The sequence below is a fragment of the Homo sapiens genome, chromosome 1 (assembly GCF_000001405.40).
Source record: "Homo sapiens chromosome 1, GRCh38.p14 Primary Assembly".
Taxonomy (NCBI): domain Eukaryota; kingdom Metazoa; phylum Chordata; class Mammalia; order Primates; family Hominidae; genus Homo; species Homo sapiens.
In genome coordinates this window covers 111,575,217-111,598,974 of record NC_000001.11, presented here as the reverse complement: position 1 = coordinate 111,598,974, position 23,758 = coordinate 111,575,217, and the positions used below count along the sequence as shown (strand labels likewise).

The 23,758-nt window shown below is 40.6% G+C and overlaps 1 protein-coding gene across 1 annotated transcript in view, besides 5 other annotated features; it reads right to left on the bottom strand.

Moving 5' to 3' along the window:
* Positions 1–23,758, bottom strand: part of RAP1A (RAP1A, member of RAS oncogene family) — a 174,683-nt gene that overhangs the window by 117,717 nt on the left and 33,208 nt on the right. The gene's annotated exons all lie outside the window — the stretch shown is intronic.
* Positions 155–214: an enhancer, noted in NCBI's record as "active region_1504". NCBI's record gives its function as "activates an Ori minimal core promoter by ATAC-STARR-seq in GM12878 lymphoblastoid cells {active_cell/tissue: GM12878}" and the evidence as "EXISTENCE:reporter gene assay evidence [ECO:0000049][PMID:35858748]".
* Positions 1,255–1,414: an enhancer, noted in NCBI's record as "active region_1503". NCBI's record gives its function as "activates an Ori minimal core promoter by ATAC-STARR-seq in GM12878 lymphoblastoid cells {active_cell/tissue: GM12878}" and the evidence as "EXISTENCE:reporter gene assay evidence [ECO:0000049][PMID:35858748]".
* Positions 2,158–2,367: an enhancer, noted in NCBI's record as "active region_1502". NCBI's record gives its function as "activates an Ori minimal core promoter by ATAC-STARR-seq in GM12878 lymphoblastoid cells {active_cell/tissue: GM12878}" and the evidence as "EXISTENCE:reporter gene assay evidence [ECO:0000049][PMID:35858748]".
* Positions 5,775–5,824: a silencer, noted in NCBI's record as "silent region_1184". NCBI's record gives its function as "represses an Ori minimal core promoter by ATAC-STARR-seq in GM12878 lymphoblastoid cells {active_cell/tissue: GM12878}" and the evidence as "EXISTENCE:reporter gene assay evidence [ECO:0000049][PMID:35858748]".
* Positions 10,790–10,929: an enhancer, noted in NCBI's record as "active region_1501". NCBI's record gives its function as "activates an Ori minimal core promoter by ATAC-STARR-seq in GM12878 lymphoblastoid cells {active_cell/tissue: GM12878}" and the evidence as "EXISTENCE:reporter gene assay evidence [ECO:0000049][PMID:35858748]".

Below are 23,758 nucleotides of genomic sequence, written 5' to 3'. Positions count from 1 at the left end.
TTTCTCTGAGTTCCTTGAGCCACTCTAGCAAATCAATGGACTTCAAAGAGAGGATCGTAGGAATCCCAACTTGAAGTCAGTTGGTCGGAAGTTCTGAGGCCCAGACTTGCGACTGGTAGGAAGTAGGGGCAGCTTTGTGAGACTGAGCCCTCAACCTGTGGTTTCTACTGCTATCGCCAGGTAGATAGTGTTGGAACAGAATTGGAGGGAGCCCAGCTGGTATCCACTGCAGAACTGCTCGCTTGCTTGCTGTGTGAGGATAGACCCACACACATTTGGTCACAGAAGACTTCTGTGGTCACACAGACTTCTGTTCATCACAGAAGTCTTCTGCGATGATTGTTGTGGTGTGAAAGCAGAGGAGAAACACAGTTTGAATTTTTCTACTTTCACACTGTGTTTACTGAAGGTTGCTCAATGTAGGCTTGGGATGGTTGGTCCGGGGTATGTAATAGAAGGTGCTTAAAAGTGCTCCTCAACAGTTTTGAAGCGTGTGGGACAAAAAAAAAAGTGCTCCTCAAAGGGTAGGCAGGATAGTGTAATGCTTAAATATATGGAATCTGGATCCAAACTGGGCTCTGGTATTTCCTTGTGATGTGGACAACTTTACTTATATGTAAACTCAGTTTCTTCATCCTAAAATGGCATAATAACAGTATCTACCTCCTAGGGTTGTTACAAAGTTTAAATCTGTTAACGTATATAAAAAAGACTTTTGCCTGTCTCATAGTAAGCACTCAACAAATGTTAGCTATTTAGATTCCAAACATATATAACATTTGATTATAAACCATGGAAACATCTTATGTATGGTATAGCAGAAAGAACAGGGATTTTCAAAATAGCCTAAGTTATATAATCTTGAGCAAGTTGTATGGCCACTGTGAGCCTTGTCTGAAAAAGGAGGATGATTACATCATAGGATAGTTGTGAGAATTAAATGAAATAATATATGTGAAACACTTAGCAAAGAGTGGCACCTAACTGAGGCTCACAGTGTTTCTTCCCCTTTTTCCTATGTCAGTAGTATGCTGTCTTATAATTATTTACTATTATGTTCTCAACGAGGAGTCTTAAGCTTTTATAATCTCCAAACTGGCTAGCACATAGTAGAAACTCAATAGAGTCATTAATGGTTCAAATGAGCCTCCAAGTCTGCGGCATGAGACCTAGAATGTCTCCCCTGTTGAGTGTTGCTGGTCAGAGGAAAGTTCCCACCCCTCCACCGCCAACTTCAATTGTTCTAGGTGTATATTTCTCCCCTTTCTTTATGAAAATTGCTCTGTGGTCTGTCGGAGGCATTTATGTCTGCTTTACTCACATTGCTCAACCCACACTTGGAGAGAAATGTGTTTGCATAAATACTAGCAGATGAATTTTTTAAATATCGCTTTTTCTTTCCTGGCACTCTGTAAGAGAAATGAGCAAATATAAACAGAGGAGTGTCACACTAGAAATATAGCAGATGGGCTTCTGTTGGGGATCTGGACTTTCCTGGAGTATACACATTTGGGATATGTAGGATTACGACAAAATCCACTTGTAATGTTCATGCTTTTTATTTCTTGGGCACAATATTAATTGCTTAAAGACTGGGCTTAATGCACACTTTCAGCCCCAATTCTCCCTTTGGGAAACAAGCAGGATCCTATAAACACTCTGTGTAGTAGGGATTGTCTTCCTAAGCCTAACATAAATCCAGTTTGATTGAGGAATCAAGGAGAAGTAAGAAAAATAAAGTTTTTCTTCACTCCGTGCTGCAATGACAGGGGAAAAAAGGAAACTCTTCACTCCTCATTTCAGATGGCTTCATGCTTGTGACCAAGGGCTTATCATGGATATTAAAAAGTGGAAACTGACTACATATACTCCTGACATATCTTGACTTAGGCCACCTCAATTCAGACCACACATCTTGAGGAATACATTTATATGCAGGCATTGACCATGAGCCATCCTTAACTCCAGCCCACACCTTTCGCCCGGATAATATTTTCATTTATTTATTCATTCAACAAACTTTATTAAGCATCTATGCTATAGAATGAATGTTTATGACCCCCTAACCCCAAATCAATACATTGAAAGCTAATCCTGAATGTGATGATATTTAGAGGTGAGGCCTTTGGAAGGTGATTAGGTTATAAGGGTAGAGCCCTTAAGAGGAGAATTAGTGCTATGCTGTTATAAAAAGGACTCTGGTGAGTTTCCTCACCCCTTCTACCATGTGAGGACACAGTGAGAAGACTGCCATCTATGAACCAGGAAGTGGGCCCTCGCCAGCCACCACATCTCTCAGCACTGCAGATTTGGGACTTCCCAGCCTGCAGAACTATGAGAAATAAATTTCTGATGTTCATAAGCTACCCACTCTATGGCATTCTGTTATAGCAGCTCAAATGGACTAAGATCATCTGCTATGGACCAAGCACTGTACAAGGAATGGGACTATGGCAATGAAGAAGACAGACATGGTCCCTGATATTATAAAACTCAAGTCTAGTGGGAAAACAGACTCTTACGTTATAATTTAACCATTCCTTTAAAAAATGCACCAAGAAGCAATAGTTTCCATTTCCATCAACCATACTATGTCCCAAGGATTGGCCTAGGAAAAACTGGGAGGTGGAAGCTGTCCTGTGGCCTCCTTGTTGTCAGAGCCTCTGTAGGGCCTTTCAGAACTCCATGGAAGAGTTCCTCATCCATTGTTGACCTGGCTGGACCCAGTGGTCATTTTTTTTTTAAAGGGATCCTCAAAAGAATGTTGTAAATGATCCTGCCTACCCATAATGGTGACTCCTGGATCCCAGAGAAAGCCCTGCCTTTAATCAATAAGCATTAACTCTTTTTTAAAATTGCACTTATGTTTATCTGTTAGGTTTAACAAGGGAGGCAGCATAATGTAGAGCAAAGATCACAAACTTTGAAGTCAGCTCTATGTTCTAATGTTGGCTCAAACATTTATTAGCAAGTCCTCTTGGCAACTTATTTTACTTTTCTGCTGTTTAATTGTCCTATGTGCAAACTGGAGAAGAGAGCACTTAACTCTGAATTGTTGAGATTCTTAAATGAAATAATCATTTAGAAGTGCTTAGTATGGAGCACATGCTCCTTTACTATGCTCGGGAACTATATTTTCTATGAAACAGGACTTGCCCTTGAAAAAAAACAGCATTTACATGAAATATTTAATGATATTCATACAACTTTGAGCTATTTGGCAAATGATGGATTATATCCATAGCCAACTCTGCCCATCCTCACTGGTGCCAACTCTCTCTGCTTTTGCTGCCCTAACTGCAGCTCTAAACACACCTCTCCAGCAGGTAACCTAACCAGGGAAGCCCAAAATAAAGATGTCAGAATGCTCCAATAAGAAATGAGAATAAGAGACAATATGACCCTTTATGTTAAAACAAAAAAGATCCTCAGCTTTGCCATGTGTTATCCCTGTCCTTTGTTTTACTGTTTTTTTTCACTCATTGAAAATGTCATCTCTATTCTCTAGGATGCTTGAAGATGTTGAGCTGGAAATGAGGCTTGTGGGTGACATTGGACAGGGAATACACAGCTAGAGGGCTGGTGACCTTACGTCAGGCAATTTCTTTGTCCTTCAAGACCCCTGTACCAGAAACTCCTACAGCCCGAGGAATCTGTACTAGTACCTCCCTCTGATTGTCCTATAGGTTCCTCCTGCAGCCTTCAGGTTGCTGGTCCAGATATTGGTAAGATTTGCTACATGGCTAAGTAGTGGGGCTGATTCAAAAAGCTCTAAATTTCGTACATTAATTAAATCAAGACTTACAGTTTAAAAAGCTGAATACAAATTTAATGTCCAAAACATAGTGGGGGAAGATGGGCTGATTAACTGTATTGGTTATTAGGCAACTATTAATAATGATGGTTGCATAATTTTCTATATGATAACAGTAATATATATTTAGCAAAAAGCAGCATACACAATTCCATATATACAGAATGAGTGCAACTGTGTTACAAGAATAAGTCTATATGCCTATAAGAGAACTGGAAGGAAACACACTGAAGTGTTAACATTTGAGGGTTGGAACTATGGCTAATATTTTTTGTTTCTACTTTTATTTTTATAAGAATCGTGTATTGTTTATAGTCTTAAACTATAAACTTCATTTTGAAATGAAGACTTCAGAGGCCAAGAATATGCTTCCTTGTGATGATTTTCATGAATCATTTCCAAAGATTTTCATTTATTCATCAGTGGGCTCAGGTGAGCAGAAGACTAAATGAGCAGAGGCAGCACTTAAGGAACTTTATGGGTTCAGAAAGTTCACCTTTATCAAGTCTTTGGTCTCGGTCTTTGTTTTTTTCTTTTTCTTTTCTCGCTCTCCTTGCTTCCTTCCTCCCTCCCTTCCTTCCTTCCTTCCTTCCCTCCCTCCTTTCCTTCTTTCTTTCTTCCTTCCTTCTTCCCTTTCCCCTTCCCCTTCCTTCCTTCCATCTGTCCTTCCTTCCTTCCTTCCGTTTTTTGTCTATCTCTCTTGCCCAGGCTGGAGCACAGTGGCATGATCACGGCTCACTGCAGCCTTGGCCTCCTGGGCTCAAGCAATTCCCTTGCCTTAGCCTCCCAAGTAGCTGGGACTACAGGCTCACACCACCACAACCTGCTAATTCTTTTATTTTTTATTTTTTGTAGATATGCTGTCTCACTATGTTGCCTAGGGTGTGAATCTTTCTTTGCAGGGGCTATAGTTGTTTCTTTCTAGCTGCCAAAGCTGTGTTAGTTTTACATTTTCCCACTTCCTCTCAAGATCAAATTTTGCTCTTTCCAAGTCGTGGCATCTGGTTTTATACTTATGCGGGATAGGGGTGGGAGAACTGCAGAAGATAAAATCAAAGGCTGACACCAGCCCCCACTGCAGGGTCAAGTGAAGTGAAACGTTGCTGGAGGCTTAAAAATCCAAATCAACTTATTTTGTTTTCCTCTGTTTGTAAGCTAGTCCCTGAACTTCCTGGTTTTGACCTAAGAGAAAACCAGACAGCTTGTGATCAAATCCTGTTATCCTTGTGATCTGAGACCACCTGTCTCAGAGGACATTTTATAATTCTTTTTTCAAAAGATTCTCCCGGAGGTCATTTCACATTAACAGTCCTGAATGAATCTTAGGCCTTGTTCTTTGCACACATGGATTTTCTTTCTGGTTTTTTTTGTGACAGATTAAAAGTCCACTGTGGGCTGGCCAGGCAGAACCTCATGAAATCAGACCATTTGTCTTGTTCCAAGGGCTCTGCCTATTCCACTCCTTTTTTACTTAGAAAGGTAAAAAAAAAAAAAAAAAAAAAAAAAAAGTAGGAGTCATAACTTAAGCTGCCAGGACAAATTCCCAGTGGCTTCTAAGCAAAGCTGGCCCTATGGGGCAGCATCCCAGGATCTCTCAGCAGAGCCTCATCCTCTTAGGGTGCTGGGCATGGTCAGGATCAATGCTGCCTGGAGCCTTAGCTTTGAGGTGGCGATCCAGCTCCACCACTACACTTCAAGATAAGGTTTTGAAAAAAGGATGCATTCTAAACATTCCCAACAAACAAAAAAGTACAAAGAAGAAATTTAAATTCTGCCCTGACTCTTATCACCCAGATACCATATAACCAGAAAGGGAATGGCCCTAGAGCAATATCATTGCAGGTTCCTAATTAGCAGCTTTGCAGCAACTTGAGCAAAGAATTCCAAGCCCTACAACTCAGAACTTGTAAACACAAGAGAACGGCAGTTAGGCGACTTGTCTAGCTGATTTTTACTAGACAGCCCAGTGTGAACAGTTCCCGAGGGGCCTGGGCTTAGCTTGAGTCAGCCAGGGTGTGACAAGCCACAGCACTGATCTCACCTTTGCAAGCCAACACAACCCGGCTCCCCGCCCCCTCCACCCACTCAGCTGCTCTCAGCCACCTCTGCCAACTTGCTCGTTTTGTTTCTATTTTTTCTCTCTCTCCCTCTCTCTGGGCAGCCACCTCCTCTGCTATTTACCCCCCAACACACCCACTGATCCTCAGAGCTCTTCTGTGGAAGTGTGGTGACTCATTTGTTACTTAGGTATTTTGGGTTCATTACTCTTCAGCCACTTTACTCAGAAGAGCCACGCAGAGCCAAAACAGAGAAGAGAGGAAATGGGGGCGTGCAGATGGGAGGGGGTGGGGCAGAAATCCAAAAGCTGCTGTGGAAAAGTTCAGCACAGTTGCTGTTGTCAAAGCTAGGACTCAGAGAACAAGGCCATTCCAAAAGCAACAACGGGAAGGAAACAGTGCTTTGATTAAAACTTCATTGAGAGAGCTGGAAACATACCCCAGAGTTCTCCCACAACAGAGATGGTGTGTTCAGGAATCCAAAAGAATCGTCATTGCTCTTTGGGAATATTTATGAGCAACCACACCCAAACTGTGTTAACTTGGCCAAAGCAAGGTGGAAGGGTGCAGTTACAGGACTGTCAAGCGTGGCCTACAGAACATGATAGAAATCATTTACCCTAAACTTCAGGTTTCCTGCTCCCCAATATACATGTGCCTTTGGCTCATATACCTAGATTTGCTCTGTGGACAATATCTGGGGTTAAGTGGCTGCTGTCCTGAGTAGACAGACTGCTTGTGCTGTGAACAACAGTGACCCTTTGTGACAGGTCAGCCAGGAGATTGGTGAACATATATGTTTGAGAGGCTTTCAGAATGTTATTGTTTAGAAATTAATTTTCCTTAAATTGTTCTCCCCAAGAATGTGCAGCACGTGATGCTTCTGCTCGCATTATAAGCCTGCCTTGTTGTAGACTGTGTTCCAATCTCTTTAGAAAGAGTATTGAATTACTATTTGTGACATTTGCCATCCGTTTCTAGTTTGGGGCTAGCAGGATTAGCATGCAGGGAGTATTCATTCTTTTCTAATTATGTATTCTTTAATCTAATAAATATCCCCCAAATGCCTAATGTTGGAGCCAGCCCTCGAGGTCCAGAGCTGGGGCGTGGGATAGAGTCCAGACCTCTGATGTGCAAATCCAAAATGGGGCTCTGAACTTCGAATTCTGAATTCTGAAAGAGAAAAGCTGATGAGACTGATTCATGATAAATCTCATGATTATTGTTTGGGCTGTTAAATCTTTCTTATGTAGCATGATGTAGGATGTACCCTATAGCTGCTATGTGCAAACCATTTTACTGAAAACAATGGGAAATACAAAAAAGGTCTGTGATGGAAGCCATGAATTAGGATGACAGAACAGAAAGATAGAAGGATCCAGGTCTCTGGTGACATCATGACACCATCTCAGCCCAGACAAGTCAGTATCATATAGATCATGTTATCTGATCGGTTTTTAAAAAAAGCTTTAATAACATCATGCGCTCAGATATTTTAAAACACTTCTAAATAACTTTAGGAATAAATCAATTGTGATTAAGTCCTAAATAAAAGAACAAATTATAACTAAAGTTAGATAATATAGAGAGCTAAATAATGAAATATATTCCAAAACTTACGCAGAGAAATTTACAAAAGCTTTAAAATGTTTATTTAGTAAAGAAGAAACACTGGAAATTAATGAGTCACATGTCCATCTCAAGACATTGAATAATGGAACAATAGCATACACACAAGAAAGTAAATGGAAGGAAGTATTAACAGAGCAGAAATTAATAAAATTTAAAACAAAGTTATGATAGAAAGGATCAGGAGAACAAAAAGCTGGTTCTTTGAAAAGACTAATAAAACTGACAGGAATTAAAAAAAGAAAATCGCTACATAGGTAACATTTTTTAAACAATAGGAGATGATTATAAACTTCATGCAACTAAATTTGAAAACTTATGTGAAATGGCCAGTTCCCTAGAAAAAGAAAACTTACAAAACTGACTCAAGAAGAAACAGAAAATCTAATTAGAAAACTATAGCTATTTTTAAAACGTTGAATTGGTAGTTTAAAATCTACCTACAAAAACAAAACATACCAGGGCTAAAGGGATTTATAAGCAATTCTGCCAAACACCTAAGAACAAGATAATCATAATCTTATATGATCTATTCCAGATAATAGAAAAGGAAGAACTGACTGTAACTTATTTTATAGTGCTGGCAGAATTTTGATACCAAACCAGACAAGGAGAATTATAGACCAATCTCTCATAAATGCAGAAGTAAAAATTCTAAACAAAATAATAGAAAATTAAATCTAGCAATGCATTAAAGCTAATATTTGTGATCCCTTTGGGCTTATCCCAGAATATAATATTAGAACATTGGAGAGGCCGGGCGCAGTGGCTCACACCTGTAATCCCAGCACTTTGGGAGGCCGAGGCGGGTGGATCACTTTCAGGAGTTCAAGACCAACCTGGGCAACAAAATGAGACCCCATCTCTTAAAAAAAAAAAAGACCATTAGAAAATGTATTATTATAATTTACTACATTTATACATTAAAGGAGAAAAAATTCAAATTATTTTAATGGATGCAGAGAAAACATTTTATAAAATTTAATTCACAGTAAACATTCTTAGCTAATCATTACAGAGGGAAATTCCCTAACTTGATAAAGGATATTCATCCAAAATTTACAGCAAATAATATGCTTAGTATGCATGCTTAATGGTTAAATATTTGTTAGAAGCATTCTTTAAGTCAAGAATAAGACAAGAATGTCCACCATCACTACCTCTATTAAATTTAGTACTGGGGGTCCTAGCAGGCAGTAATAAGATAAAAAAATTAAATGCCTAAGGATTTGAAAGGAAGAAACAAACTACAGTATTCACAATCAATGTGATTATCTACATAGAAAATTGAAGACAATCTACAAACTATTAAGAGAGTTCAGCAAAATCCACAGAAACAAGATTAAAATGCAAAAATCAGCTGTGTCCCAATGTAAGAAAAAACAAATAATTAGAAAGTATAGTAGGCCGGGTGCAGTGGCTCACGCCTGTAATCCCAAATCTTTGGGAGGCTGAGGTAGAAGGATCCCTTGAGCCCAGGAGTTCATGACCAGCCTGCGCAACATGGCAAAACCTCATCTCTACAAAAAACAAAAACAAAAGCAAAAATTAACTGGGCATGGTGACGTGTGCCTGTAGTCCCAGCTACTCAGGAGGCTGAGGTGGAAGGATCACTTGAGTTCAAGTGATCTAGGTGATCTAGTTCAAGTGAACTTCTAGTTCAGTGAACTAGGAGTTCAAGGCTGCAGTGAGCCATGATAGCACCACTGTACTCCAGCCTGGGTGACAAAGTGAGACCCTGTTGCAAAAATAAATTAATAAAAATAAATAAATACATAAAACTGGATGTGATAAAAGGCACAAAATCTCTCTGAAAGGAATCAGAAAACTGTATGTGCATGGAGTTGGACTTAGTATTTAAACAGGTAGAAATGGAGCAAAGAGATTCTCAGTGTAAGGAGTTAAGGCCCATATAGAGGAAATAACACATTGGGAAAATGTGGAGCATTTTCAGGGAGTGTTTAGGAGTTTAATTTAACTTGAATGTAGATTTAGTGCTGAATAATGGTGAAAGGTATGTTGGGATAAAATCTTGGAAACATTTTATTTTATTATCTTATAGAGTCAGAATCTTGCTATGTTGCCTAGGCTTGACTTGAATTCCTGGGCTCAAATAATCCTCCTGCCTCAGCCTCCTGAGTAGCTGGGACTACAAGCATGTGCCACTATGCCTGGCTTTGGATAAATTGAAATACCCAGTTAAGGTATTTGGTAAGAAAACCTGAATTGCCTAAGGTATACTATGGTGTCCAGATTGTGTTTCAGGTACATTGGCTCCACTTGAATTATTTTATTAGGAGTTTGGATCCAGATGCTAAAACTAATAAATTAGTTTCTTCACTTAAAATTAAAATATCATCAAGACACCAAAACAATAATAGCTGTGTTAACACATTTAAGGGGATGATACAATTTAGAGAAATATATAAATATAGATATCTAATTATAATAAAGCACTTCTTTTACAGTTCTTTCACTGTTATCACTACTTAATTTTTCTAAAAGTTTTACTCTGTCTTGATTATAAAAAATGCCTTATTCACTTGACCTTGTTTTTAGACCCAAAAGCTCAGTGGTTTATTCATTTAGTCATTCATTTAATGCTAATATTTTTAACACCTTCAGCCAAAAACATACAGTCTTTGCTTTCATGGAGGGTATATTCTAGTGCAGACGTATAAACAAATCATTAATGATAATAGAGGTGATAGGGGTATGCACCAGTTGCTCTTCTAGAATGGAAGAGAGGCTCCCAATTGAAGTAGTTAAAGCTTCCTAGGGAAAAGATGCTTGAGAGGGATGTTCAGCAGTTAGTAAGCTGGGCCAGAGATAAGAAGGTAGAGAGTATCCCCAGAGGAGTCTCAGGGGCATGAAACATCATGTGTATACAGTCAAGTGTGATCAGAAAACAGGAAGCCATTAGAGGTACCTGATGGAATAAGAGGCTAAAGATGTGGGCAGGGGCGTATCATGGGGGATCTTGTGTGTTCCATGTTTTAATTCCATCCTGAAAGCTACCGGAAGAACAATCGAAGTATTTTTAAACAGGGAAAAAACATGATCTGATTGATTTGCATCTTAGAAAGATTATTCTGGTAGTAATGTGGTATGTGGCAGCAGTGTGGCAGATAGATTAGAGAAGAAACACCCAGCAGCCCACTATGATGATCCACATGACAAATGGCAAAGGCCTCAGCTAAAGTAGAAACAGTAGAAGTGGATTACAGAGAGGGTGGCTTACAGGCTCTAAAAGCCTAAGTAACCAATCAGATGTGTGGGTGAGGAGGGGCACATCTAAAGGAAGGGACACATTTCCAGCTTGACACCTGTGTGCATGGCTTGACACCTGAGGCAGGAAGAGAAGCAGGCTTATGGGGGAAGATGATGAGTTTGAGACCTGTTATCATCAACGCAGAGAGAAGTTTCAGTTGGGCGTAGAGATTTGAGGCTGTGGGTCATATGCAGAAGCTGAAATAGTGTATTTGTGACCACCAAAGAGAACTCATAAGTAGACTGGGGAAAGCAAAAACTTTTTTTCTGTCTGACCAAAGAATAAAACAGAGAAGGACATGAAAAAGGAAGAGAGAACAGTATCACAATAACCAAAAGGAACAGATGTTGAGGAGGGAATATTTCACAGCATTAAATACTGTAGAGGGGTCAAGTGAGGTAAGGATAGCCCTGTGCAGGTAATTAGTGACTTTAGGGAACAATTTTGTTGGCATGGTGAACATGTTTGCCAGATTGCACTAGATTTGTAAGTGAATGGGAGGTGAAAGTGGAGGCAACAATAATAGGTAGACTTAAAAAACTTGGCTTTGAAAAAGAGAGAAATGACTAAGAGCTAGAAGAGAAGAGTGGGCGAGTGGAAGTTGTTTTTAGATTAGAGATGATAATATTTATATTTTGCCAGGAAAGATCAAGTAGAGGGGAAGCTTGGAGTAAAGGAGATAGAGAGGATAACGAATAGAGTAACAGTTTCCTGAGGCGTAGGCAGAGGTCAGATGGAGGGATTAGTTTTGAACTAGAGAAAATGTCCTGAGAGGAGAGAAAGAAGGGATAGAATTAGACTGAGAGTTTTTAGGTGTTGTTGATGGAGCTCAGGGAGTTCCGACCTGATAGCTTTAATTTTCTCATAAAGTAGAAAGATGATTTACTGAAGTTGCAGGTGATGAAGGTGTTGAGGGTTTAAGGAAAAAAAGAGAATGCGTGAGAGAGCTGTTGAGAAGAATGACAGAAGGAACAGGTTAGCAGCAGCTTGAGGGTCACCTAAAGTTGGAGCAAATGAATCTATATAATTGCTTGTAGCCACCTGGATGCAGAAGGCAGGAAGTCGATATGCAGGGATGGGATGTCATAGAATGGTGGAAAAACAAGGACAAGGAGGAGTAGGGCTGGGAGCAGCTGCAGGGGAGGATAAGAAGGCAAGGCCACTGGTGTTGAGGAGTCAAGGAAATGTAAGCTCTTGTGTTACATTGAGTCCTCTACGTGGACCTTAGCATTCAGTTTCGCAGTCTGATAGAGGCATGAGAGGTCAGCAGAGGCTGGGAGGTGAATGTGAATCAGATTCCAGAGTCTTAGGTGAAGGTTGGGTCGCCATGATTTTAGCCAGCCGTGGTGATTCAAGACTGCAGTGCAGTTTGCCATAAGAAGCAATCTCAAAGAAGGCAGTAAAGTGCCTTCTCAACATTCCCAATTAGCTACTTGTTTGTTTTTTCATTCATCCTTTCATCTATACTTTCATTCAGTCCTTCAACAACCTGCAAATATTTAGGGAACGCTTGCTATATGCCACTCCTCTCTCACTGGAGGTGAAGAAGACATCTCAGTTCATCAGTTCTAAACCACATATTTTTCTCCTTGCCACCATCCTCCACTTTTTTGTTGTTGTTGAGATGTGGTCTCACTCTGTTGCCCAGGGTGGAGTGCAGTAGCACAATCTCAGCTCACTGCAGCCTTGACCTCCTGGGCTCAAGCAATCCTCCCACCTCAGCCTCCTGAGTAGCTGGGATTACAGGTGCATGCCACCATGCATGGCCAGTTTTTGTGTTTTTTGTGGAGATGGGGTTTCACAATGTTGCCCAGGTTCCTGGTTGTTTTTTGACATCTCTGAAGTCAGTAGGGATGTCAGTTAGACTGTAGCCATGATGTAGTTGTCCTGGTCTGCCCAGGTTCAAAATTAGTCATAGCTGTTCATGTTGTCACGACTTCCATTCAGTTAAGGACACTATTGGTAATAACATGTTGAGCTTACTTGTTGTTTAAATTTTAAAAAAATTACACTATGATTCCCGTATTTGTAGAAGGCATGAACATAGTGGGGCATGAATTTGATACTAGTGAAGCAAATATTCATCATCAGAGAAATGATTGCAGTTCCATATATTATTCTGAAAAGAACAAGAATCAAGAGTTTTATGGGACCTGAGAAAGAAAGATACCTACAAGCAAAATTGTGTTGTTTTATTAGTGAGATACATACAAATGAACTGTCTAAAATCAACCAAGCAATGCAATGGAGGGTGGCAGGAATTGTCCTTTATTTCAAAGCATGAGAGGCTGGTGTGATTAATCCTGAGGTCACAGGGCTATAGTTAGGGTATTCTGTCATAGTTTAGTTGGCAGGATCTTTTTTTTGTTAGTAGTACATAAAATAATGGCTTATCTTATAATTAAATGTGTCTTAGTGTAGATGATATATGATAACTCACATCCTAGAACTCTCTAAACATCTTTCAGAGAAACACAGAATGTCAGAACTATGAGAACCAATTCCCTCCTTTAGCAAATGAGGAAAGTGAATCCTAAGAGGTGGGTGGCTAGCCCAGGATTACATTCAGAGCATGTTTGAGGCAGAGGAAATTTATTTACTACAGGGGAAATAAATTGTCTTGCCTCATGGCAAAAGGAGTAAGAAAAGATAAAAATTACATAATGGCTTGATGGCTCAGACTGACATCAAAAAAACCGTATTACTGCTTTTTTTTTTCTGTTGGAAGGACAATAAAGAGCTTTAATATCTACTAATCTTTGACAACATGCTTCTGATTTGTATCCATCATCCAGATCTATTTAATCTCCTTAATCACCGGCCTTGCTGCCTTTATGGTTTAAATATTTCATTGAGCATACTCTCTCAGTGTACCTTTTTATTTCTCCCATGACATTTTAAAGACACACGAGACAGTTTTAAAAGAGATATAGAGAGTAATTTATTATTTGATGTGATTTTCTTTCAATACCTAAAAAAACAAATTCCCTCCCTGTTAGTCCTCCCCTGGAGCTAGGATAGTTGAGGAATGCAGGTGTCCAGACTTGAAAGAGGAGGATTAAATCGGCAACAGAGGTGACATTCACCCTGTCCAATTGATGAAGCCACGATGGAATAGCTAGAGACAGACTTATCTCTTTCTACACCATTCTTTTTGGTCCATGCTATCATAGAAACATTCTATTGATTTGCCATCTGCGGCTCCTAATATTAGTAAGAAAATACAGTAAAGGGTGTGAAAATGAAGATGAAAGATATTTAATTTTCTAGTTTTGCAGTGGAAAGCTGCAGACTCTTGTAGTGAGATTTTTATGGCAAGCAGTTGAAGCTCATCCTCCTAGGTTTGGTATTTTAACTGAATAAGCCTCATATTTGTGGGTTTATTTTTTTCCTTAGTTATCAGAGCTGCTACTTTTTCTACTCTTCCTAAATAATGGCATTCTGGTCACCGGCCACATCAGGCATATAAAGTATTCCCTATTTATATATGAATTTCTCTAGAGACATTAGAAGGATGTAAACAACACTATGCGAGAGGCTGTTTGTTTCTTCGGCTCCTTTTATCTACAGTATGAATGCAGTGTCCCCCCACATGCATATGTTAGAGCCTAATACTCAGTGTAATAGTATTAAGAGGCGGTACCTTTGGGAAGTGATTAACTCATGAGGGCTCCACCTGAATGAATAGGATTAGTGCCCTTATAAAAGAGGCTTGAGGGTGCTTTCTTGCTCCTTCTGTCTTGTAAGGACTCACAGAAGGCACCATCTATGAAGAACCGGCTCTCACTAGATGCTGAGTCTGCTGGCACCTTGATCTTGGACTACCCAGTCTCCAGAACTATTAGCAGTAAGTTTCTGTTGTTTATAAATTACCCAGTGTAACGTATTTTGTTATAGCAGCCCAAGCAAACAGACAGGGAGATTTGGCCTTTTCTGGTGGTAAAATTAATCTGTGGTACATCTTGTTGTACATCTCCAATCATTTCTCTATGCATGACATTCACAGTTGAAATATCAATTGTGGCCAGGTGCAGTGGGTCGCACCTGTAATCCCAACACTTTGAGAGGCCGAGGCGGGTGGATCACCTGAGGTCAGGAGTTCAAGACCAGCCTGGCCAACATGGTGAAACCTCATCTCTACTAAAAATACAAAAACTAGCTGGGCATGGTGGTGGGTGCCTGTAATCCCAGCTTACTAGGGAGGCTGAGGTAGAAGAATCACTTGAACCTGGGAGGCGGACGTTGCAGTGAGCCGAGATCGCGCCACTGCACTCCAGCCTGGGCAACAGAGTGAGACTCTGTCTCAAAAAAAAAAAAAAAAAAAAAAGAAATAACAATTGTATAGACAGTTGTGTATCTTGTTTTGCTTATTCAACATTATTATATAATCGTTCCTAGTGTTACTATTACTCTTGTTAAGTATAACGTTTAATAGCTGCAAAATATCTACTGTTAATGTACCATAACTTTCTTTACCCATTCTCTTGTGATTGTAAATTGCATTTAATTTTTTGTCTATTTTTTAGTTCAGCTTTTTTTTGCAATTCAGATTTTCATTGTAAATAATGCTATTTTAAACAATTTTATGCATTAATCTTTTGTGTGAAATGAGACTTACATAGAAATTGTGAAACTATGACTGCGTATTTTAAAAATAAACTGGAGTAGAGATTAGTGAACTCGTGACCTGAAAATGATACATCGTGCTTAAACTGACTGTATTTTTTTTTTTTTGAATGGGGTCTTGCTGTGTCGCCCAGGCTGGAGTGGAGTGGCGCAATCATAGCTCACTGCAGCCTTGAACTCCTGGGCTAAAAGTGATCCTCCTACCTCAGCTTTCCCAGCCACTGGGATTACTGATGTGAACTATTGCGCCTGGTTAAACTTGCTGTATTTTTTTTTTTTTTTTTTTTAAAGCATGAGCATTTATATATATCACTATCAGGGGTAGACTTCTTGCCCTAGAGAATAATTGGGCATATGTCCAGCAGCCTGGGATGTATACTGCTTTTTTGCACTTTTCCAGGACAGGGAAAGACATTGGGGGTTGGGGAGAACAGGAATGTTTAGAGGTTCAGTGGTGATCTGTGCCTGTCAGCCTCTGCTCTGTGATCCGGAAATACAGAAATCTCTGCAAGATACTTTGTAAACATTATTCTTTCCCACTTTCCAATTAAATTATACTTTCCATGAAAGTGAATTGGCCTCTAGACCTCCATGCACCCTTCATGCTCTGCAGTTATTACAGACTGTATGGTTGTAGGAGCTGGGAACCCAAGATAGCCAGGTTCAGGCCGGGAGACCAGGCTCTGGCCTAGGTGGGAGTAATCCCCTAGCTTGGCACTCAGTAGCTTCAAAGGACAAGCAATCTGAAAGCTCTTAGGTCACACTTTCTAACACAGCTGTTAGAATACACACCCTCTAAACAGGAAATGCCTTAGGAAGTACAACTGAGTACTTTTAATTTTTTTAATAAATTATTAAAAAGCCTGAGCAGAGGGTGACATTTATCTGGCATTACAGTTAACAAGCTAGAGATGCTCCCTGACTGTCCTGGTTTTATGTTCTAGGCAATCGTGTGCCCACTGCTGCTTAACCGGAGCTTAAATATTCCCAAATTAATCCATAACTCACTTTGCTTGTAAAATGAATGTCTCAGTCAAGGGAGTTGTAAGTTACATAGCTCGTTTTTGCTGTCATAGGAAAGAAAAAGATTTACTAAACCCCAAACCAATATTTAGACACCTCTGTGCTTGGAATATGAAAAATATAGTACTGGGCAAAAGAAAAACAGTGTAAAACAGAGGATAGGGAGGCTCAATTATTTGAACAGCATCAGGAAAGGCTAAAATTAAGAGCTGCTGACTTCTAGAAAAGACTTAGCTACATGGCTGCCATGGTACTTCTCCACCCCTTGTGGTCCACCTCTGCCCCTGCCCTGCCCTGTGCCATTTATTTCAGTCACATAGCCTCACCAAACGACTGTTTCATACCTCAGGGCCTTTGCATGTGCTCCATAATATCTGGAATGCCCAGTCCTCTCTTCCCCTCTCTTTGTTTTGCAAATTCCTGCTCATCATTCAAGGCTGAGATGTCACTTGACTTGGTTATTGCATGAAGACAGCATAGTACAATGGAAACAACTTAGATTTTAGGGTGAGACTTAACTGGGTTCAAATCTTGGTTCCATTTCTCACTAGATGAGTGACCTTGGACAAGTTAACTTGACCTCTGTGACTCTGTTTCCTCCCTAGTTAATGGAGCTAATATCTCACTCACCAGAGTGTGGTGTATATTAAATCACACAACTAAATAAAGTGCTTGTATAAAAGCATATTTTAAGTGCTTATATAAAGTGGACACTTAATAAAAGTCAATTTTATTTCTCTATTCCCATCTTCCAAGGCTTCCCTGAATTCTCTAGGCAGCATCATTTTATTCAAAACTTAGAGTACGAGCTTGTGTCTTATCTTTGAGTCTGCAGTACCTACATAGTATTCAATTTTTTTATGCCATGCTTAAGTTATAGGGCTTCCAGATGAAAGGAAACAGGATGGAATCTATTTATGGAATTTTAAATTCATTAATTTATTTAACAAATATGCATTGTGTTATATCAGGTGGAAGCTAATCCTATCACTTGCATTCTTGGTCTGTTTTTTCTTCCTTTAGAATAGGGTTTCTTGACCTCCACATTGTTGGCAATGGCCAGATAATTCTTTGTCATGAGGGGCTGTGCTGTACATTAAAGGATATTTAGCAGCCTCCCTGGACTCTGTCTAGCAGATGCTGGTAACAACTCCTCTACCCCAGTTGTGACAGCCAAAAATGTTTCCAGATACTGAATGTCCCCGGTTGAGAAAAACTGCTGTAGAACTTTGCAACCTTGGTTATTCCCTCTCTCCAGTCTTCATGTTTAGCCACTATTGGCTCCTTTCTATCATAAAAATATGCTATTTTCTCCAGTCTTTAAAAGCAAAACAAATCAATCCACCACAAAACCGTCTCCCATCATAGTCAAGCTCTCTAAAAGTACAGACTGCATTTACCGTCACTTTCCATCCATTCTTCCACCTGCTGCAGTGAGGCTCCCTGCATCCCACTTCATAAAGGGCCCAGGCAAAGCTCCCACTGAGAAATAGCAAAACCCTGTGTCCTCTTTGCACTGTTCATCTTGATTGGCCTGTGTGACATTTGACAGTTGGTGAATTCCAGGATCTTTCTTTCATGGTTCTTCTTTGACCCTCCTTCACAGGCCCTAGTGGTATCTCCTTTGCTCTGCCTCTTAAATTCTGGCATTCTCTAGGGGTCTATTCTGTTTTTTGTTGTTTTTTTTTTGTTTTTTGTTTTTTTGTTTTTGAGACAGTCTTGCTCTGCCGCCCAGGCTAGAGTGCAGTGGCACGATCTCGGCTCATTACAACCTCTGCCTCCCGGGTTCAAGCGATTCTCCTGCCTCAGCCTCCCGAGTAGCTGGGATTACAGGCACCTGCCACTGCACCTGGCTAATTTTTGTACTTTCAGTAGAGATAGGGTTTCACCATCTTGGCCAGGCTGGTCTCAAACTCCTGACCTCGTGATCCGCCCGCCTTGGCCTCCCAAAGTGCTGGGATTACAGGCTTGAGCCACCACGCCCGGCAACTAGGGCTCTAGTCTTGATCTTCTCTCTTCTGTCTTTCTGGGGCACATTCACTTATTCTCATGGCTTTAAATCTAATGTAAATGCCAATTCCAAAGTTTTTACTTCCAGCCCCGATTTCTCTTTTGAGTACTAAACCTATACATCCACGTGTGTGCCTTACAACCATCTCAAAAAGAACTTATTATCCTCATCTCCTCTTCCCAAAGTTGCTTCTCCTCCCACCTTCCCATGCTCCATCTTATCTAGCCATGGAGCACAGTGAGAGCATTAGATCCTGGCGATGCAAATATTTGGCACTTTTGTAAAGATGTTCTCCTTAGTTTACCTAATACAAACAGTCCCTAACTTACCAATTTTTGACTTTGTGAATGGTATAAAAGCAATACACATTCAGTAGAAACCATACTTTGAGTACGCATACAACTATTATGTTTTTCACTTTTAGTTCAGTATTCAATAAGTTACAGGCAGCCGGGAGCAGTGTCTCACACCTGTAATCCTAGCACTTTGGGAGGCCAAGGCAGGTGGATCACCTGAGGTCAGGAGTTCGAGACCAGCCTGGTCAACATGGTGAAACCCTGACTCTACTAAAAATACAAAAATATTAGCCAGACATGCATGGTGATGTGCACTTGTAATCCCAGCTACTCGGGAGGCTGAGGCAAGAGACTCGCTTGCAGTGAGCCGAGATCACACCATTGCACTCCAGCCTGGGCGACAGAGCAGGACTATCTCAAATAAATAAATAAATAAATAAATAAATAAATAAATAAATGGAGATATTCAACACTTTATTTTAAAATAGATTTTGTGTTAGATGATTTTACTCAAGGTAAACTAACATACGTGTTATGAGTTTGTCTAAGGTAGGCTAGGCTAAGCTATGATGTTCGGTAGGTTAGGTGTGTTAAATACATTTTTGACTTAGTTGATATTTTCATCTTACAACAATGTGACCCCATCATAAGTTGAGGAGCCTCTGTAATGCAAGACTGAGTTTATTCTTCCCCTTCTCTAGGCCCTCTTCAAAACCCTCTGGCTGTGGACCCACATGGAGCAGCAAACCTCAGTGTTACATTAAATGAGATAAACTTCATAAAGTACCTGGCACATAGCTCAGTACATGTTGGCTCCCTTTCCCCTTGTGATATGATGTAAAATATCTTTGGTCTTTTTTCCTGGTTCCTATCATAGCTTCTAAAACCCCTAGAATTTCCTGGGTGATAGGAACATCTTTGTTATTCATAATGAGCTCCTTTAATAACTCCAGCATTTATACTAATAAGGTGACTTAGTGTGGGGGCCCTAGTTAGTCTCAGGATAGGACCAGTCACCAGAAAGACCAAGTGATTAGAGGATTGGAACTTTCAACCCTACCCTCCAACCTCCAAGGAGGGGAGGGAGGGTGTTGCTGAACATCAAGCTCTATAAACACTCAAACAAGAGTTGATGAGCTTTGGGACTGCTAAACACTAGGAGACGCCAGGAGGGTGGCTCACCTAGACACGGCGTGGAAGCTCTGCAACCGCTCTGCCATACCTTGCCCTGTGCTTCTCTTCGTCTGGCTGTTTATCTGTATCCTTTGTAATATCGTTTGTACTAAACTGGTAAAACAGTTAATAAGCTGGTAAATGTTTCCCTGAATTCCATGAGCCATCCCAGCAAATTAATCAAATCCCAGCAGAAAGTTGAGGGAATCTCAGTTTATAGCCGGTTGGTGAAAAATAAAGGTGGCCCAGACTTGCAATTGGCCTCTGAAGTGAGAGCAGTTTTGTGGGACTGAGCCCACAACCACTGGGATCTGATGCTATATCCAGGTAGATAGAATCAGAATTGGATTCTAGGATACCCAGAGAGGGTCTGCTGGAGAATTGCTTGGTGTACGGGGAAAAACACACATCTGGTCTAAGAAGTGTTCTGTATTGAGTAAATAGGGAGCAGAGAGAGTAGGAAAAAACCTTTTTTTTTCCTTTTACACTCTGTTATTCTCTCTGGAAAACTCACTCCAGTACATTATGAGTTGGGTATTAGTAGTGAGTTCATATGTAATTTTTTTTTGTGGTTTTTTTTCCCCATTGAAAATAAACTATTTTTGCAACTAGAGAAAAAATTTTCCTTATAACACCCATATGTCTGACCAAACCACTCCCCTCTTACTGGCTTTTCATTGCCCAAACTTCTAAGTATGGCTTACAAGACCCTCTGTGAGTTGACCTTGATCTAGCTGTGTAACCTTATCTATTGCTCTACCACCTTCCCCACACATCCCATCCTCTGGCAACTTCAAACCTCTTCCAGGTCCCTGACAAGCCATGCTGTTGCTTGTTTCTTGGTGACCCATGCCCACCAATCCTCCCCTTCCACCGAGTGCCCACACACAACACACACACTCTAGAATACCTGGCCAATTCTCATTTCTCAAAACTCAGTTCAAACACATCCACTTTTAATCCTTTTCTTATTTAAGTCTCCAAACTAAAAGTAAACATGCTCTGCTTCATCACTCCTTGTCCATTTAGACATTTGCCAGAGCACCTGAGATACTTGATTATATTTATTTGCTGACTCATCTTGTCTCCCTCTAAGTGACTGTGGACTCCTTTACGTGCAAAGACTGTGTCTTTTAGTTGACATACAGGAGATGCTCAATTAAATATTCTCTAACAGAGAAGCAGTGTAGTAGACTTTAGGATGGGTGGAGAGGAGGGATATAGGCCCACAGCCCCAACTGCCTTTATAGAGCCTGACATTACTTCATGGGAAGAATGTAATTAAGTGGGATAAGAAGAGAAAGAATTATAATAAAAGCCAATCACTTTATATGCTTTATGTCTCATTTAATCCATTATATAAATATTATTTTTTAAATTTGGGAAATTGAGACTTCAGAGAGGTTAAGGATCTTGCCCAGGTGAAACAGCTAGCAAACCTCCAAAATCCAAGCTCCTAATCTAAACCCAATAATATATTTGATCTTACAGTCTGAATGAAGCCCTAAAAAAATCTGTTTATGGAGAAATTACCATCAGGGATCATCTTGACCACTTAATATACAAGAAACTCATGTTTCTACAAAAGAATACCCATATGTCAGCGGATAAATCCAAGTTTTCAGGGTCTGGAATTTCTGCTATTCTTTTTTTTTTTTTTTTTTTTTTTTTTTGCGATGGAGTCTTGCTCTGTTGCCCAGGTTGGAGTGCAGTGGTGCGATCTCGGCTCATTGCAACCTCCACCTCCTGGGTTCAAGGGATTCTCCTGCCTCAGCCTCCCAAGTAGCTGGGATTACAGGCGCATGCCACCACACCCAGCTAATTTTGTATTTTTAGTACGGACAGGGTTTTGCCATGTTGACCAGGCTGGTCTCAAATTCCTAACCTCCGGTGATCCGCCTGCCTCGACCTCCCAAAGTGCTGGGATTACAGGCGTGAGCCACCGCACCTCAGCAAATTTCTGCTATTGTTTCATAATTCATCCTCCAACTCTAGAAAAACCACTAAAAACATAAACATCCCCAAGTATTTGGATCCACATCTGATTGCCCCATGGAACTTCCTGGGTCTCAGGGGACAAGGAAAGTCTGACCTGTGTGTGGTCAGGTACCTGGAAGGGACCACATCTTGGAGCATAGTAAGAGCCTTGGTGATGCAGATTCTGGAGCTCTAGTATAAAGATGTTCATCTTAGGTAACCCAAGGTTGAGTTTGTTTTCCCTCTCCATACTCCCGCTTCCTAAAGCTCTGGCTGCAGGCCACGTGGAGGCCTACCTCCTAGTAGCTTCGTTAATGACTTTAGAGTCTGATTGAGATCAGGTGGCCTCCAAGCTGGCACCAACACCCATTACACTCTCCAAAGATAAGGAAACCAAACATTAGCTAGCCGGAGCAAACAGTGCCATAAGCACACCCACACGTTCCTCCCTCCCCTCACCCTTCCAGAGGAGCAGCAAATGCCGCCCCTGTACTTATTAAGGTAGGGAAGTAAGGAACTAAATACAACTCAACTTGAACTATTTAAGTTCGCTTTAACCCAGACGGGTTCTCCTACAGAGAATGTTTTCTTTATTTTCCCCTGCTGAATCAAGTGTCTTCCTTTCTTCCTTCAGGAATTCTCCAGATGACTTTACCTGCCTGAGCACTTTAACTCCATGGTCCTGAATTATTATATATATACTTAAGTGGCACTGCCATCTCTAGTCATGATATATACAAATATAGGATTCAATTTACTGAGTATTTTCTGGCCACTCGATGTATTTGGTTTTGTGTCTTGTGTATCCAAGGGTTTATAACTCTCCTTAGGACTCAGCAACCTATTTCTTCAGTGTTGCCTGGTGTGGTCCTGTAACCAGTAGCATCAGAATCAACTGGGAGCTTGTTTGAAATGCAGACCGTAGACCCACTGAACCAGAATTTGCATTTTAACACGTTCTCCAGGTGATCCATATGCACTTTAAAGTTTGAGATGTTCTGGACTAGAATGTCATTTGTGGATACACTCTTTCATGATCCCAGTGCAGAGAATAGTATGCAGGGCAGGTTCAGTTTTCTCTGTCCCCCAAGGTCCTCAGGTGTAGAAAAATAATTCTACTGATTCCCTTTTGTATGTTTTTGTGTGTATTATATATTTTTCAGTGCCCTGCTCAGATATTTTTAGTATTAGAAATATTTACTGAGCATTCATGTGCTAGGTGATCTATGAACATTATTTCTCCTATTGTATTAGTTTGATAAGGCTGCTATAACAAAATGCCCCAGGCTGAGTGGTTTAAACAGCAGAAATTTATTTTCCCACAGTTCTGGAGGCTAGAATTCCAAGATGAAGGTGTCAGCAGGTTTGGTGTCTCCTAAGGCCTCTCTCTGTGGCTTGCAGATGGCCACTTTCTCACTGTCTCCTCACATGGTCTTTCTCTGTGTGCACGTGTGCCTGGTGTCTCTGTGTCAATATTTCCAATTCCTATAAGGACACTTGGAGGTATTGGGGGTTGACTTCAACATATAAACTTGGGCAGGGGGACACAATTCATTTAGCCCATAACAACTATGAAGTGGCTAATTATTATCATCCCCATTTTACAGATGAAGAAACAGAAGCTTAAAGATGTTTAGTACCTTCAGGCTGGGTGTGGTGGCCCACACCTGTAACCCCAGCACTTTGGAAGGCTGAGGCAGGCGTATCACTTGAGGCCAGGAGTTTGAGACCAGCCTGGCCAACATGGCGAAACCCGTCTCTACTAAACATACAAAAATTAGCTGAGTGTGGTGATGCATGCCTGTAATCCCAGCTACTTGGTTTTAGACACAAGAATCACTTGAACCCTTGCACTCTGGAGGCAGAAGTTGCAGTGAGCCG